General features: G+C 35.4%; 1 protein-coding gene across 11 annotated transcripts in view, besides 1 other annotated feature; it reads right to left on the reverse strand.

Annotated features, from left to right (window-relative positions):
* TENM1 (teneurin transmembrane protein 1) overlaps positions 1–18,775 on the reverse strand; it is an 828,410-nt gene that overhangs the window by 700,722 nt on the left and 108,913 nt on the right. The window lies entirely within an intron of this gene.
* Positions 18,403–18,603: a silencer, noted in NCBI's record as "peak7424 fragment used in MPRA reporter construct". NCBI's record gives its function as "represses an SCP1 promoter by STARR-seq MPRAs in K562 erythroleukemia cells {active_cell/tissue: K562}" and the evidence as "EXISTENCE:reporter gene assay evidence [ECO:0000049][PMID:32103011]".

Genomic DNA, 18,775 nt, shown 5'->3' on the forward strand with positions numbered 1-18,775 from the left:
GGCAGTGTTTGGATTAGAATATCTCAGCATTACTTGCCACTCTTGAATCATCTTCTCTATATGTTTACTAGACGCTCTCAGTTTAACATCCACTAGTTTCAATATTCAATCTTTTTTACCTTGATATTAACAATGTGCCTACTAAAAACTCTTACCATCTTCCTCATTTTTGTTAACTTGAATTAGTTTTCCCCTTTTGTGTTTTAGGGTATAATACCTTTTACTCAACTTGAGATGCCTTTGTTATCCTTATCATACTTAAACATTTCAAAATTTTTTTTTTCATCCAGATTCCTTCCCTCAAAGGATGATCTGCTCTCTCAGATTCCCTTCTTAGCATTTCCTACTTCATTAAGTTTGTGTTTTAATTTTCCCTTTCTGCTACTTTTTTTCTTTGGAAAATGTATGACAGAAATATGACTCCTGGACACTAAATGCCATCGTATTTCAAAAGTAATGAAGACGTTTCTCATTAACTGATTAAAAAAAGAGCATAAAATTTGATAAGCAATAAAATAATCGGAAGGAACTGGAAGTTTTCCATAATTTTCATCCAGACAAATTATTTTTTAAAATTATCTTATTTTTAAACAGCATCTTACCTTATATATAGTACTAAGGAACCTAAACTAGCAGGTTAATTTCAAAATGTTATTAGATAACATATATACAGTTAATAATAGATCCTGTTGCCATGGAATCTCAACTGAATTTTTGAGCTCCATGGGTTGATTTTTTTGCGAATTAAGACCTTAGCTCTAATGTTTCATTAACAGATTTTTTATATGAATGTAATTATTTGGATGAAGATTTAGAGTACATTTCCTAGTTTGCAAATGATATTCAAATTGGACTAAAAATAGAGGATGAAGGAACTGTAACCAAAAAAGACACATATTTTCCAGGTGACTGAATCAATATAGGGTGAAACGTATTCTCATGTTAAGAATGCTTGGGACTAAGAAAACCCATTCACAGATCCTCCTGCTCTTTGACCTCTCACCACATCTGCTCCTACCTTTTACCACTTCCTCCTCCCAATATGCACTCCCTACGGACAGGAAAAATTAGAAATGATCAGGAGAGAAGAGGGAAATCCTGGACAAAGGAGAACAAGGAGATTATTGGTGGCTTAATAATCTGCCAATTCTAAGACTATAAATCAACTGAAGTCATCCCACTTATGTCCAAGGTGCTTATTATAGTACATCTGGACTTGGAATGGCAGTATTGATCATTTTCTTTCTGTTCTGGACCACTGCATCAGAGTACTACTTACTAATTAAAATGTGATAGCTAGCCCAAGTGTTGAAACAGATGGAGAAAGACAATGTTTTCATATTTGGATTATTCTCACTGAATGGAAAATCAGAACTACATGATCATAACTCTTACCTACACAGAAAAGGAGGACAAACCCTGGGGTATGATAACAGAGGATGTGCAGTCTTGGGTTGGCAGTGACTAGAGAATTTGGAATAAATGATCAAGTCATGTGGTTCTGGAGGCAGGAGCAGCAGTCTGGCAGGGAAATGGCAGAGGATGAAGTATTCTACAAAGAAGCTTTAGATTTAGATTCACAGTGTCTTTCTGCACAAATATGGGTTATGAATTCCAAGTTGTCACATGGTTACTGAAAAGTAGAACTGTTATGTGAACCCAATTCAGTTATTTTTACCAAGAATTATATTTCAAAAATTTTTAAAAAAGAAGTGCGGCAATGCAGTGTTTGCAATTAGTGAGCAGTCAGTTTGAATCCCGAGTGACCTGAAACTTGTTGCTAAACCTTTATGACTTTCAGTTTCCTAATTCATATAATTATTGTGAACAATAAAAGAGATGAAATAAAGTGTCTAACAAAGTAAAATAGGTACTTGAGAAATAGGTGTTATTATAATTAGTATTAATTATTAGTAAGAAAGTACATGCTTTCCATTTATTTCACCTCATTACCTACTGCTTATTGGTAGCAGTTTTTCTTAATTGCAGGTTCCATTTATTAAAATTTATAATGCATCCCTTGGTAGTTGTATCTTCAAACTAAATCCATAGTGATGATGGCAAACAATACAGAAATAATAAATGCACTGAAGGAAATACACAGAAAATAAAGTGTATTGCTCGCATACCTAAAATGTGTTTGTAGTCTGGCTGGGGAGATAAAACATGAGCATTGACATGAAATGGTTTACATAAAACATCATTAATACAATTAGCCAATATATTCTGAATGCTTAGTAAGAGTTTGCAGTTATGCTGGTCACAGTTTTGGCTGCTTTATGCATATTAACTCATTTGTAACCCATAACAACCCTGTAAGAACTATTATTATTCCCATTTCACAGACGAATAAACTGACACCAGGAGCTTACGCAAGTTCTCCAGAGTTACACAGGTAATAAGGAGCACCGTCAGGATTCAAATATGTTTCTAAAGCTCATGCTTTGAAATACCTCACAATACTGCCTCTCATATCAATCAATCAAGTACAGACAAAACATCTAAAGGGCTGTGGATGAAAACTAAATGAACTTAAATAGCAATGCAAGACTGAATAAGATATAAAAATAATAAATGCATCTAAAATCACCAAATGAAACTCAATGTTTCATTTATAAAGAGAGTGGATCATGGTGAAAGAGCCAACAAATCCAGGAAGACTGTCACCATCAATTTCTGCTTTACTTGCTGAAAAGCAAGATATCTGAGGATAGACAGTAGCATCTGAATACACAGCCTGTTTCATTGTCCATTTATAAAAGACCTTTCTTGAAGAAGGAATAATTTTGCAATAAAATATACTGGTCATACTGGAAGAATATATTTGAAAGCCACATTTTTATCTCAATAATCATAATGAAAATCTTTCTGTATATTCCAAGTATTTCTGATAAACAATATATGATTTATATTGAATGATTTTTCATCTTTCCCAAATTTCATTTCTAATGATTGCTTATGTTCTGCCACAAACATTTCTCAGATAAACTTCTTTTAGTTGTGGGAACAGTTTCTTGACTACGTTATTTCTCCATTGTCCTATCCATTCAAACAGGCTACAGTAAACTCCCATTATGTGATTTTTCATGGGATTGAGAAAAGAAAACATCATAAAGAGGAAAATGATAAAAGCAAGATATATTGCTCCATGGAGGCTTTCCTCAGAAGCTCTCTTTGTAGTAGACAGCTGTGCACTCACATCTGTTTCAGGACAACATGGAGGCTATAAGGAATCATGAGCAGCATTCCTGCTTTTCTAACCCCATTACTCGCCTCCAAATTCTCTCTTTATGCTGCATATAATGTAAGAGAACCACTGGAGGCTGAAATGAGAAGCAGGAGTAATCACGGTTATCCTGCCTCATTTATTTGAGAATCAGATCACTGATTGCCGCAGCTCTGATATGTTTTCTAGTGTCCTCCAGATACGTTTCCTAGCTCCATGTTACTCAAGATGTGGTTCCTGGAAAGCAGCACCAGCATCAGCATCACCTGGAAGCTTGTTAGAAATTCAGATTCTCGATCCCACCTCCCTTTTAGCAGAGAGGGAATATATGAAAAGGCCAATAAACAATGAAAAGTGAAAGGGTGAAATTAATAAAAAATAAAATAAGTATAAAACCAGACATATTTTCAAAGTATAGAATGCCTGTCCTAAGTTAAAAATGATCTATCAAAGGTTTCTTGAATGGCACAGCTTGCCTATGTGCCTCATTAACTTCATTTCTTTCCTTGGTCCTTTGGGAGGAAATATGAACATCATGGAGACCCATACCAGCTCAGCTGTGGAGATTCTCAACCTTTGTTACTATAATCAGAATCAATATCATTATAAGCTAACATTTATTTAGTGTTTACTATATACAAGACATATTGTTAGGTGCTTTGCATACTTTTGCTCCTCATTTTACAGATGCGGAAACTAGGATTCAGAAAATGTAAATTACCTAAGTCCCTTAGCTAAAGGTGGTAAATATAAATATAAAATCATATATTCCTGAAAATATAAAATATAAAATAATATATTCCTGCTTTTGGAGCCCGAGCTAGTAACTTTTTACTGCCTTTCTGGTCTTTTGTCTACCTGTGACTCCAGAATTTCTTTTCTGGCACAATGTTAATATCTTCTATTCTGTATCTACTGGAGATGAGAAAGACATTTTTCCAAAAGGCTAAAAATTCCTCTCAAGGCTTCAGTTCTGCCTGTGTGTACTCCAGAAATATCCAACCACACTCCTGGAGGTATCCCGGGCTCTTATCATTTCCTACTTCCCCATCCCCGATACTTACCCTGGACACTCATTTTCTCTGTTTTATTGGCTTAACAGGCACATACTGGCTTAGCAAATGTCAGGCTTGTTTTGTTCTTTACAAAGCTCAATGTTTTCATCTATTTTTCTCTGCTACCCTTTTGTCCTGGTCCTCTTATCACCCATGTAACTTTTCATTCTAAGCCCTGTGAGGACAGCAGCTTTATCTATGTGGTTTTCCACTGTATCCCCAAATCTTGGAACAACACCTAGTATATAAGCACTCAAAAATATTTGTTGACTGAACAAATAAGTCTTAGTGAGAGTAATTTATATGGAGTGTGTGTTTGTCGGGCCTCTTCTCTATCTGCATTCATTTGCTAGATTGTCGTATTTTGTCCAATAGTTTCAATACCATGTATCCACTTTTTAAATTATAACTTCAATCCTGACCATAGCCTAAACTTCATACTCATGTATACAGCTGTTTCTCTTAATTTCCACTTGGTTATAGTATAGGCATCTCAAATTCAATAGGTCCAAAATCTGTCTTTCAATTTCCCTCCCAAATCTTCCCAACACTTACACCTTCACATCAGTAAATGGCATCACTGCTTACACAGTTACTAAGATAAAAAAGCTTGGTGCATTCCCTGATTCCTCTTTCCCTCCTATCTCACACAGACTCAATCAGCAAGTTATATAGATTTTTAGCTTAAAAATACTTACTTTCTGAGCTAAAAATAGAACTACCATTGGAGCCAGCAATCCCACTACTGGGTATCTACCCAATGAAAAAGAAAAAGACACCTACACTTGTATGTTTATTGCAGCACAATTCACAATAGCAAACATAGGGAATTAACCTAAGTGTCCATCAACAGACGATTTGATGAAGCAAACATGGTACATACACACTACGGAATATTTATTCAGCCATAAAAAATGGAATCTTGTTTTTTGCAGCAATATGGATGGAACCGGACAGGTCATTATATTGAGTGAAATGAGACAGACATAGACAAATATTGCATGTTCTCGCTCATAAGTGGGAGCTAAACAATGTGTAGATATGGAAATACAGAGGGGAGTAATAAACACTGGGGACTCCAAAAGGGGCAAGGAGGTGGAAAGGCAGTGGACAATGAGAAATTACTTAATGGGTACAAGGTATGTTATTTTGGTGATGGACACCCTAAAAGCCATGACTTGACCACTACATAATCTATGCATGTAACAAAAATGCAAGCCCCAAAATTTCATTACCCCTTAAGTTTATATAAATAAAAAATAAATAAATGAAAGGCAAATGTAAGTGAAAACTCATTCTTTACCACCTACCCTTGTCCACACCACCATCAGGATGTAACTAGAATATGGCAATAACTTCTTAACTGGCCTTGCTGTTTGAATTCTTGCCTCTCTAAAACCTCTTTTGATCTAGCAGCAATGGTTGTTTTTCTACAACATATGAATCAGATCACCTGATTCCTCTGCTCAAAAGCCTCCAACAGTATTCCATCATACTTAAAATAAGATGAATTCTCACATTGATCTACAGGGCCCCATACAAACTGGCCCCTGCCTCCCTCCTATTGCTAAAGTCCAACCATACTGGCTGGCTTTGTTTTTGTCTAATAGTGCATGCTTAATACCACTTGAGGGCATAGTTGATTATTCATCAATCTGTTTGGAATGCCATCCTCCTCCCTCCAGATTTTGTATGGCTGGCTCCTGTACTTCATTCATTTATTTGTTTAAGTATCACCTCCTCAGAGAGAAGGCCACTGACAATCATAGCTAACTAAAATAGTATCCAGGTGCATTACATCATTTTTTGTCCCCTTGTCTAAGTTTATCTTTATGGAATTTATCCCAACCTAACACAATATATATGTATGTTTTAATTTCTTCTTTTTAAATTTTGTGTGTACATAGTAGTTGTATATATCTATGGGGTACATGAGGTATTTTGATACAGTCATACAATGCATAATAATCATATCAGGGTAAATGGAGTGTCCATTACCTCAAACATCTCCTCTTTATGTTACAAATAATCCAATTATACTCTTGTAGTTATTTTAAAATGTACAATAAATTATATTTTATTCATTTATTACTTTCCGATTACAATGCAAATTCCATGAAAGAGGGGACTTGATCAATCTTGCTTACTGCTCTATCCCTGGTGTCTAGAACTATCTGGCACACTGTTGGCACATTGAAATGTTTGTTGACTGAATGAATAGTGGTGGATATCACCTTTGTCCTTGGAAACTTCTTAATTCTGTTCTGTTTTGAAGCCAACTGAATATGTACACTTTTGTTCTTTCATTAAGCTCAACATCTCCTGGAGTCTTTCCACAAAAATTCAGCTTCCTATTGAATAAATGCATCTACTTATGGCTTATTTACATAGTATAAATAATTATTGTACTTTGATTCCAGTGAATGCTTAATCCTCCTTCTAGTCCAGTTTATATTCCTGAGCTTCTGGGGTCTAGATTCTATTTTGTACCCTTATCTCTCAAGTCTAATTAACACCACATCTATTGGTCCCTGCTCCTCTATTACCCATGAGGCTGAATGCATCCTTTCATCCCTCTACCCAAGATTCTGAACTCTGAAATCTTGACCTTACACACATCATACACACACATATGTTACTGTAATCTGTGACATTACTAAGTTTTTGAAAGTCAAAAAAACCCCACATATATTGAAAGATGCCAAAAAACATGGTAATGATATGCTTCCAACTTTTTAGAACAGCCCTAATTTCAGAGAATGTTATTATTTTCAATAACAGTAACTCATTTAAAGGAGATACAATATATACAACTCTTGAAATTGTTAACATGAATATATCCACATATTGAAAATAAATATTTGGTCAGACTGTGTGTCCCAATTTAGGGTTCAGAAAATAGGTCACTGTAGCCATGGTCTTATTGCCCTGTTAGCCTAGATTCTGGATCCCCACAGACTTTAGGAACAGCTCCCAGGAGTAGTCTCTGCCTTATCATATTGACATATTGTCATAATTTTTACTAGGAGGGTGGAAGTGAAAGTGGGGATGCTCAAGTTTGTAGGTGAGACCACAAGATGTTTCCTTTCTTCCAATATGTTCTCAGCTGTTTTAGCTGTGTGTGGAAACAGGGTTTCAAACAATATAGAAGACAGGAAGGATTTTGCTCAAAAAGTTGAGAGGTAGATCTTTTCAATACCCTTTTATTTCTCTTTGTTTCAGCCTTCCCTCCCCTTTCCCCATACTTATATCCTCTCTTCTCCTGACACACATGCACAGGATTCCTTCATATTATGCACTGGCTACCAGGGGCTTTGATTTGTCACACCTCAACCAGCCATCCATCCATCCATTCAAAAAAATCTTTATTGAATACTACTATCTCCTGGGAACTGTGCTTGGTTTTTGGGATAGATAAGTGGATAAAGCATGGTGCCTCATTGCCACTAGCTTAGAGTGTCTCCTGAAAACTATTTTTTTTTCTTTATGTCTTATATACTTAGACTGGCAGCTCAGCTGATATTCTGTCGCTTTAGTAGTATTACCTATTAATGTACCTTTTTCTAAAAACATCAGTATTTTCTGTAGAAATTCATTGGTCTTCCATAGTCCCTAGTACATCATCATAATAACAATAATAGCTACCATTTTCAGTGCCTACTATATCCCAGGCAATGAATTAAGTGGTTCATATACATTTCACCTCTTAATCCATAACAACTAAGGAGAGAGGTTACATTATTTGCCCAAAGTCACCAACTAACTGGTAGCCAGGCTGGAATCTGACCCCAAATCACAGACTCACCATACTGCTTAATGATAGGTTAGGTGTCTTAACCCAAAGCACAGCCATTTTGAACGGCAAAAGATTGTTTGAGAAATCTACATTGTACCTCCCCGATCATACTAGGGATACAGCAGAGGACTAATTAGAAATATGGTGAACAACCAGGAGAGACTATTAACCCAGAAGTCAAAGAAAGAGAATTTCCAGAATGTGAATGGTCAACTTTTTTATATGCCTACTTGGGAGTGAAATCTGAGTTCTTTACTGAGGCATAGTTTCTGAGGTCTTTTCAGGGTTAGGTCCTCTAAGTAAGTGGCACATGTAATTTGATGCCTACAATAAAAGCATCATTCCTACCCAAGCCAAAAGAGCCAACTGTAAACCAAGGAATAGTGACTCTCTAGAGTTTTAGAAATTTTGTAAACTCTCATTGACTCAACTACCAATCGTTTATTTTAACTTGAACAGGCTCAGGAAGGAGACATACAGGGCAAAAAAAAAAATGTTACCTACACAAATGACAACTGAAATCATGTATACAAACATGGTTTTAAATACCTGCCCATTATTCTATTATAAATGATGTACTGTAATGTTTGTAATGTTTTCATTTTGTTGGCTTTCAGATTTTTTCCAGTCTTTCATCATTAGTACTAATAAGAAAAGGATTTTCCTTGCATATGAATATTTGTCTACATCCTGATGATTTCCCCTTGGTAATTTTCTAGTTACAAGATTCTTGGGTTAAAGTTTAATAGCTTTTTAAGGCTCTTTGTACATATTGCTATTTACTTTCCAGAAAGATGATACTAATTTACACTCCTCCAGAAGTCTAACTGTGAGAGTGCCTGTCTCACAACACCTTCACAAAAACTTAATTTATTTCTAATATTTGTGAATATGATTGTCCAAAAATCTGCTTTTAACTTGTATTTTTCAAATGTTTATTTTCCATGTATATTTCATTTCATTTCCTATTCTGATCTTTGTCATTTTCCTTTAGAGGTGTTCATTATTGCTTACTGATTTATAAGAGATATTTATATATTACAGACATTAGGCTTTTGTTATATATGTTGCATATATTTTCCCTATTTGTGATTTGCCTTTTCATTCTGATAATGATGCTTTCTGACTAGGAAAAATTATTGGTTGCTGTCAATTGAAATCCAGCATCTTTTTCTTTTGTGATTTTTTTTCTATATGCTTATGATTAGAAAATACTTTCTCACCATCAAAGGAATTAAATAGTAAATTCTATTTGTTTCTATTCTTAAACTTTTAAAATATTTAACTCTTAAATGATTCAAAAATTATTTAGGTGTTGAGTGTAAAGTAAAACTCTAACATGAGATTTTATGGTTTATACTTGCCTCCCAAATAGCCATTTTTTCCAAGAATTATTTATTAAATGATTATTTTCCCCTTTGCTTATGATGTTTTATAAAAATAATATTTTTTCAAGGATATCTGGTTCATGTTATTCACCTCTCCATTCTTAAAATTTTACCACACTAGTAATTACTATAACTTTGATGCATTTTATTATCTTATTCATGTTTTAAAAACATTTTAACTATTAAAATCTGTTTATTCTTCCAAAATGAACTTCAGAATAATCATTTTAAAAGTAAAGGTAATTTGTTGTTGAATTTATATAAAACCTAGGAATTAATTTGGAATGTACTGTATCTATAAACCTATAATCAACTAAACAGAAAAAAACATATATTTTTAATATTCAGACATCCTAGTCAAGAACATGGTGTATGTCTCCATTTATTCAAATTCTACTTTATGTTTCTCGAAAAAAATTTGGTAGTTCTCAAGAAAATATAAGCCTTGCATTTTTCTTGCTGGAATAATTCCTAAAATTTACAGATTATTTATTTTAAAAATATTGTCGGTAAGTTTTCTTTACATTTATAATTTCTAACTGGTTATTGCTGGCACATCAACAGAGAAATACAGTATAATTCATAGGGACTACATTAATAGGCCATTAAAAAAAGAAGAATAAGAAACACTCATTGCCACTTAGAAAACATATTCTCTGCTGGAAGTTGCCTGCTGCAGAATCAAAGAGTTATGATATTACACACTACCCATCAAACTCAGAGAATTTAAGGCCATGTTCTCATTCAACAGTCATCACTCTCAGATGGGAGAGAAACCATTTATCAAGACACAGGAAGAAAGAAAGTCGCTATCACACAAGCAAAAGTACTGGGACAAAAACAATGATTCTGATTAAATATTCAAAAGGAATTTTTAGTCTGCAATTGTGTTTGGCAAGTTTAAATCCCAAATGAAATTTTAGAGATATTATATGCCCTTGAAAAGCAGGTTTATAATGAAAATGCTGACAGACCTTAAGAGAGAATACTGTAATACATGAGCATCTCTACTGTCACTTATGTTTAAGTAATAGAATATTTGTATAGATAGGCAGGATATGTAAACTGGTAAGTTTTTTTCTCAGAATCATTGTCTTATTTATCATTTTCAATGTCAATTGCCTCTCTTTACTTTAAGTTACTATTAGAATATAACCTATAAAACTTTTCAATTCCTTAAAAAGTGAATATTATCAATATTTTATATACAAAATATATATTTTATATACAAATTGTTGATTCAGTAAATCTAAAATCCACTGAAGGCATTGTAAATCTATGAAAATCATTGGTCACAAATTGCAGATTTCTTGCATAGAAAACAGCTAAACTTTGGGGACAACCAATATAAAGCATGAGAATAATTCTTAACTACAATCTGAAGTCATAGATGAAAGATGAGTAAAAATATGAGGTCACATTGCTTTTCAGACTCATTAATAAGCTTTGTCTGATCAGCTGTGATCTTCTATCAGCTTCTCTTAAGATAACTAAAATTAAAAGCAAAGAAGTGAAAATACAAAGTGAGCCTAGAGCATCCTGTTGTAACAAAAAGTAAGTAAATGCTCAAATAAAACACTAAAACCCTACATTGCTGGAAGTATGTCTAAGGGACACAGGAATCAAGTGAAAGAGCCCCCAAAGACCAAAACTGGAACAATTCGAGAAACAAAAAAGTAAAGTAGTATTGGATTATTATAACCCAAAATAAAAAATAAATATTTGTAAGTCCACACTGATATATATAAATGATTGAATAAATAAATAAATGGTGGAGATGAGGCAAATATCCTGTGAAGCAGTCCAAATAATTTGTGTAGATACTGTGCCCTCAAGGATGTGGAATATCCCTTCTCATTAAGTATATAGGCTGCACATAATGACTTCCTTCCAAAGACTACAGTATAGAAAGGTGGGTGGGAGGAGTAACTTTACAATGGAGAAATCTTACAAACATTCCCTCTACCAGGTGATCTAAGGCCAGCATTATCAGTGATAGGTCATGTTGATAACATTTACCCTTGATTTGATTTGAATTAAATGGCATTTTATATGCTTCTATGATCTTCCCCTCAAAAATCCAAACCCCAATCTAATCATAGGAAAAACAAGACAAATTCCAACAGAGGGATATTTCATAAAACACCTAATCAGTACTGCCAAAGTCATCAAAAACAAGGAAAGTCTGAGAAAATGTCAGAGCCAAGAATAGCCTAAGGATACGTAACAACTAACTGTAATGTGGTATCCTGGATGGGATCCTGCAACAGAAAATGGACAGTAGGTAAAAACTAAGGAAATCTGAATAAATCAGGGACTTTAGGTAATAATAATGTATGAGTGTGGTTCATTGTGACAAATATATCAAAATAATGCAAGATGTTAATAATAGGGGAAACTCCATGGAATGGAGGATGGTTAATCTCTGTACCATCTGCTTAATTTTTTGAAAATCTAAAATTGATTTACAAATAAAGCTTATTAATTTTTTTAAAATTTTTTTTAAAGAAGTAACAAAAAGGTGAGAAAAATTAAGGAGTTATAGTGAAGAAAGGGGGGGAAATTGACCTGTTGGAGCAAAATGAGTATACAGACAAAAACAGATAAGCCTTTCTGAACATCAAATCCACTTTATCTAAAAGTCAATGTGAGATACAATGTACGGTATTTGGGTGATGATTACACTGAAATCCCAGACTTCACTACTATGCGATATATCCATAACAAAAATTGCACGTGTTCCCCTTAAATTTATACAAATTTTGAAAAGTCGATGTCATAACTCATGACAGTAGGAAATAAAATATATTGAGTCAAATCATAGCTTCAAAAATACCTATACACTATAAAATCTTAGTGTTCCCCATCACCAGTGACGTAAAAAGGACTCACTGTATTCCAAATTACCCCAAAGACCACTTACTTTAGTTCATTTTCCTAAATGGGATGCCAAAAAGAGGGATCATAAAGCCGCATAGAGGTTTGTCTCAGAAACTTCAATATCAAGCATAAATTCTAGCCATAGGATCTTATAGCTCAAAGGACCTCAAAAAGATCAACTGGGGTGCTGGTCTCTTATAAAGGTCTGCAGAGAGGTTGATAAATTTTCGGGGTCATTTTTACGGTTAAAGATACCTCTGTTATAGTTTTCCCAAATTCATTGGTAAAACCAATTATTTTGTAAGACCCAATTTTGTTAAAAATTCCTAGCATTATCTACAGCCAGATCATTTTAAGATTGCTGGGTTTAAGACTATTTATTGGGGACACCTAGCTTTATTCAACTAAATTCCAAAAAACTGCTTAAAATTGAAAAGCAGAAGGAATGCCTCATTGTAGTTGATATATGAGAAGATATCATCCCCTAAGGGTATAGTAAACATATTTCTCAGTACTGTATGGTTTGGCACACAGTAGGTACTCATAATCTAATTGTTGAATGTGTGGATAAATGAATAAATGGGGCAGCCTTTCAACACATTTAGTTTAAAGGCTCATATAATTTAAACATGTCATGTCTCTTAGTTGGTGGCTGGATCTATTTAGAGCCTTTTGAGACAGAACTCAAGAAAAATATTTGGCATACTGTAATACCAAGTGGGAGGAGACTAAGAATGGCAGTAGTTGGGGAAGGGAGTAAGTTGAATCAACCTCCTTGTGGGGTTTCAGCCATGGAGAAGCATAGGGAATGACATTTAGGAGCATAGTCAAGTGGTGAACATGGCCCTTTGGGAAGGCACTTCTGGGGAAGATGTAAGCTACTGGCTTATTATATTCATGCTTAAGAGGATAAAAGGAGGTGCCAGATAGAAAATTTAGGGGTCTGTGTATGTTTGTCTGTGTGTGTCAAGTGTTCCATCATTGTCAGCTACTCATTCTATCTCACTCTATTTCTCTTTGTATCCCTGCCCCTCCTACTCCCCACATTACACAAAAGCCTCAGCTAGTGTGTGACTTTTGCAATCCAGTAATTACCTGTCATTATCTATGCCATCTCTTGCTTTAATTTCACCAGTTTTCTTGTAATGTTGTTTATTCTTTCAAGTGTCTGGAATTGGAGGCTTCAAATGAAACCCGAGCTGCTTACTTGTCATTCTTCCATTTGCTCATTCAATAATATGTAGGGACTTTCCACTGTATGTCAGGCACTATGCTAGAAGCTTGAGAAACAAAGATGACTAAGGCATGATGTTCACCAGGCTATTAAGGACAGAAAGGCACACAAACAGATAATTGCAAGGCAATGTGGAGATGCTGTAATAAAAGTATGCAAAGGCCAGATACGGTGGCTCACGCCCATAATCGCAGCACTTTGGGAGGCTGAGACACGTGCATCGCTTGAGGCCAGGAGTTCGAGACCAGTCTGGGAAACATGCCAAAACCCTGGCTCTACAAAATATACAAAAAAAAAAAAAAATAGCCAGACATGGTGGTACACTCCTGTAGACACAGCTATTTAGGAGGCTGAGGTGGGAGGATCACTTGAGCCCAGGAGTTAGAGGCTGCAGTGAGCCATGATTGCACCCTTGCACTCCAGGCTGGGTGACAGAGCAAGACTCTGTCTCAAAAAGAAAGCATGCAAACACAGCCATGAAAATATGTAGGACTTAATGCTGCCTAGGGGTGGACTGGAAAAGGTGTCATATGGAGGCAATATTTCAAGTAAGTCTTGCAGGATGAGTAGAAACTCACCCTGTCCAGAAGGTGGGTAAGATATTTTAGGAAAGGGAACACAAATACTTGCATAGACCAAGGGACCAGGATATAAATGTGCATGGTATGACCAGAAAACAGTGACTATGACTGCATCAAGGGGAATGGGGGAAAATTACATTATAACACTTCAGATTAGGAAGGACTTTGTTCGCTATGTTACATATTTTAGATTTTAATTTGCAGGCAAAGAAGAGTTGAAAGCAACTCAGTAACATGATTTGAGTGGTGAATCATTTTTGCTATGTTGTGGAGCATGGACTGGCAAGTTAGTGGAGAAGACTAGAGACAATCATAGTTAGAAAATGACAGATGATGACAGCCTGAGTTAAGGGACCTGCAACAAGAAAGTAGAAAGAAAAAAAAGATGAAAACATATTGGTAAAACACGCCTGTTACTCAAAGACAGGAGGAAAAGAGAAAAAAAAAAGCTTGATAACATTTTAAAGACGAGGATGAGCAAAGTTGAGGGAGTTCATGCTTGATGACTTCCATTTTCATGATGAGATTTGGAGAACCTAATCATCTAATTTGAAGGAAGAAGACACAGCTGGAGATGGCTATTGGGTGGAATGAGAAACAAAGCTGACTGTGGAGGAATAAAAAGACTGTCTTTTAAAAGAAATGCTGAGGGTTCCACTACATTTGGACACCTCAAATTGCAGCATAGCCAACTAACAGGAAACCAGGTAGGTTGAGTGTGTTAAGCAAATACCACCAGGGAGTCCAGAGAGCTGATTCATGGGGGTATAAGAACAGATGGCAAGACACCTGCCCTCAGGTAGACATAAAACCAAGAAAGCCATTTCACAGGTAAGGGGACTAGCCCAGTGTGCATTCACAATATAAGTTTATAAGATCCCAATTTATCAGCTAGGTAACCCAACACATAAACCTAGGAGAGGCCGGGCATGGTGGCTCACACCTGTAATCCCAGCACTTTGGGAGGCCGAGGTGGGTGGATCATGAGGTCAAGAGATAGAGACCATCCTGGCCAACATAGTGAAACCCCGTCTCTACTAAAAATACAAAATTAGCCAGGCGTGGTGGTGCATGCCTGTAATCCCAGCTACTTGGGAGGCTGAGGCAGGAGAATCGTTTGAACCCAGGAGGTGGAGGTTGCAGTGAGCCGAGATCACGCCATTGCACTCCAGCCTGGGCAACGAGAGTGAAACTCTGTCTCAAAAAAAAAAAAAAAAAAAAAAAAAAGATTGGTTTCATAGAGCTTGGGATAAATTCACACCACTATCTGCCAATGCGATGTTTTGAATAGAAAAATACCCTTAGGAAAATAGAAAAAAGAAGCTTCCAAAAATCTCTACCAACTGCTAAAATTATGCCGCACCCTTGTATATAAATTTATTTTAATTAAAGCACACATCAAAATGAAACTGTCTAGAATGTGACAACTCAAAGAATCTACCAAACACATTTCCTTCCTAATCAGCTTGTCAATCTAAGGATCCCAACAGAAGTAAGCTATTCAATCAAAAAAAGGATTGGGAAAGGTTCTGTTAAACTTGATTAAGTATTTTATGCATTATAAGATTATCATTCTTTCTGATACTACTTTACACTTCCAGTTTTGTAGACTTTATAGCAGCCAAAAGAAGTTGTAGAACTAATTTAACATTACTCTCAAAAATGTCACCAATGGAAACAACAATTTAAAAAATCAAAGACACATTAAAAGGAGTCATATGAAAAACAATGCATTTTAGGGAAGTAAAATGCAACAGTAGATGTGATATCAAAAAATGTAGATGATAGAAAAAACAATTTGGGGATGGAGCTTAATTCTATGGTCTAATGTGAGTAAAGTAGGAATTTGTGAACCAGAGAAATCATAAATTAATATGGGTTCTGAACCAACTCCTACCAGAAAATAATAAGGAACAGATATGGAACAGAATTAAGTAAGTGAATCACAGATCAATTTATAAAAACAATTAGCAACCAACACACAGAACATTCTTTATGATTCAGTGTTGTTTACTAAAAATATTTCGATGAATGGTAAGCGTTTTCCAGTAGGCTTTTCTCCACAATCCTGGAGCTAGTAATAATTATAAGGATATTATTGGAACTTGATTTTGTAGCTATTTATTCTTAGGTTACTTTTTAGTATTCCTGCAGAACAACTTATGCCTGACAGCAGAATCTATTAATGTAGCAACAAAGCTACTAGAACTTCCAGTTGCTTTTCCCATTCCTGTGTGAATAACAACCTTGTAATATTATTGCTGATAAGTGTATTCTGTATGGAATGGGCACTTCTCTACAGAACTAATTCTACTAGAGAAATTAAAGAAAAAAACTTTATTAGCAGAATAGGATTATTGTAGGCCACCTGTCAATTTCTGAAATGTTTGTAAGATTAGCTCAGTGGACCTAGCACCAGCTGATTTCTGTGATCTGGTTTGCTGCTCTCAAATCTCAAAATATTCAAAACATAGCGGCATGGGTCCTCTCCTCTCTGCAGCTCAAACCCCAAAGGGCCAGATTACAGCACAAAGAGTCACTTCCTCTAAGTCCCAGAGGCAGCCATTATATAAGAAATGGTTCTCTGAATTCCTGAATTCACATAAATGTAAAGTATCATACATATATTCTATCAGTCAACGTGCACCAGAGGTGATTTTCACCTAAGGTAAATATTATAGATAGGATGATGATTCTGCTTTAAAATAGCAAAGAGAGTCATTTCTTTGTCTCATAAATCATTCATTTCTTTCTACTCATGTACCAAATTTCATTGAAATTTAATAACATTTACAGCGTATATATGACCATTTAAAATGTTATAGAGAGTCAATCTGATTTATTTATACATGCCCCATTTTCCATTAACTTGATCAAGGTCACAAAGCCTGGAGATACTGAAATTAGAAAGAAAATCCAGGGCTTTATGGCTTTCTGACTACAAAGTCCCAGTTCTTTTTTTATTGTACTGTTAAGGTATCATTTACCTTACTAAATTATCATTTCAAGAAATATTATAGAAAGAAAAGCATTGTTCTGGGAGGGACCAAGTCATTTAGCTCCTAAAACAGGGCAAATTCTCTATTAAAGGGTCTTGTCCCTTCATATACAGTTATAAGACACATGGGAGCAGAGCCAAAGTCTGAATGGAAACTGATTGCCAGGTCTGCACTCATTGTGAAGCACCTTTGTTTAAAATACAATAAGACTCTTCCTCTGCGTGGAAGAATTACCACAAGGTGCCACCTTCAGGCTGAACAACTATAAAGGGCCCACTGTGAGTTGAATGCAGGCTATGTTACAGTTCAAATTCACGTCCCCCTCAGCAGGGCCTCCTTGTGCAGAAAGTAATTTGTACCAGCGTCCCTGAGGCCCTGCTGACTGTCTGATATCATCTATTGAATTTGTTCTCTGAGGCTGTCTCTTCAGAGGACTTGGGCTGTTGGCTGGTCTCATCCTCTGAATCCTTACAGGACTGGTGATAATTAAATCTCATCATACTTTTAATATTAAATAGGGGTCTACTCCACCCAAAGATATTTCACTCAGAGCCATGGTACATGTATTTCTGTAACTTAGGCTGTACCTAAGAAATGAAAAATATCCAGACAAAATTTTAATCAAATTAGCTGCCTTTGATAGGGAAACAAAATGTCCAGAGCCATGTCCTAAACATAAATTATCTTAAAGAAGCCCACTGCCACTTTGACAAATTCAGGCGAGTTAAGTATCCAATGGGAAGGGACCATTATTTTGTTTTTATTTGTTTGTTTTCTGACTGACTGTCTGGACCACATCTTGGCCTAGCAAGAGCAGTAGATCCTATTACCCTACTTGTCCTACTTACAAGATGCATTTCAGCCCAATGTGGTGTTATGATTGAGATATGTTTTGGGTTCTATTGATGTGGTGACTGTGTGAAACAGATTTTCTGAAATGGTCTGAATTTCAAATATGCTACCGTGTTGTATAAGTCAGGTGATATAATCCATCATCATCATGAAAATAGAAGACTTCTGAGAAATATGATTATTTTGATTGTCAGAACCTTGTGCAAATTAAAGTCTCATTTTTAACATGCCAACTTTTCGTGGACATTTTAAGGGTTTTTCTTATAGATAAAACTTAAGAGCTTAAGAATCACTTATCCAGTTTTTAATGTGTGTAAGGCAATGTGATAAGTGCTTCACTTGAATACACTTCATGTAATCTTTAAAGCAATCCTATGAGGTAGGTATCCATCATCATCCTTTTTTCATCTTACAAATGAGGAACTGATATTTAGACACATAAAATAACTTATTCAAAGTGACTCAGCTAGAAAATGGCATGGTGTCAATCATGAACTCAGGTCTTTTCAGTCTCAGAACTTGAGCTCTCTAGTGCTTCTGACACACTCCTTTGTAAGTTGACCTTAACAATGAACATTTAAAGATGCTCTGATATTGAAAAGTAGATTCAAAATCTCAGTAATACTACACTAGGGATTTGCAAACAAAGCAAAAAAATCTTCTCCAGGATCCAATTTAGTGTTAATAAGTAGTTGGGGCTAAACCTTTGCAAACATACTTGCATAAATATAAATAAAGTACATTTAAAATAGGATGTCTCAGGT

The sequence above is a fragment of the Homo sapiens genome, chromosome X, assembly GCF_000001405.40.
Source record: "Homo sapiens chromosome X, GRCh38.p14 Primary Assembly".
NCBI classification, from domain to species: Eukaryota; Metazoa; Chordata; class Mammalia; order Primates; family Hominidae; genus Homo; species Homo sapiens.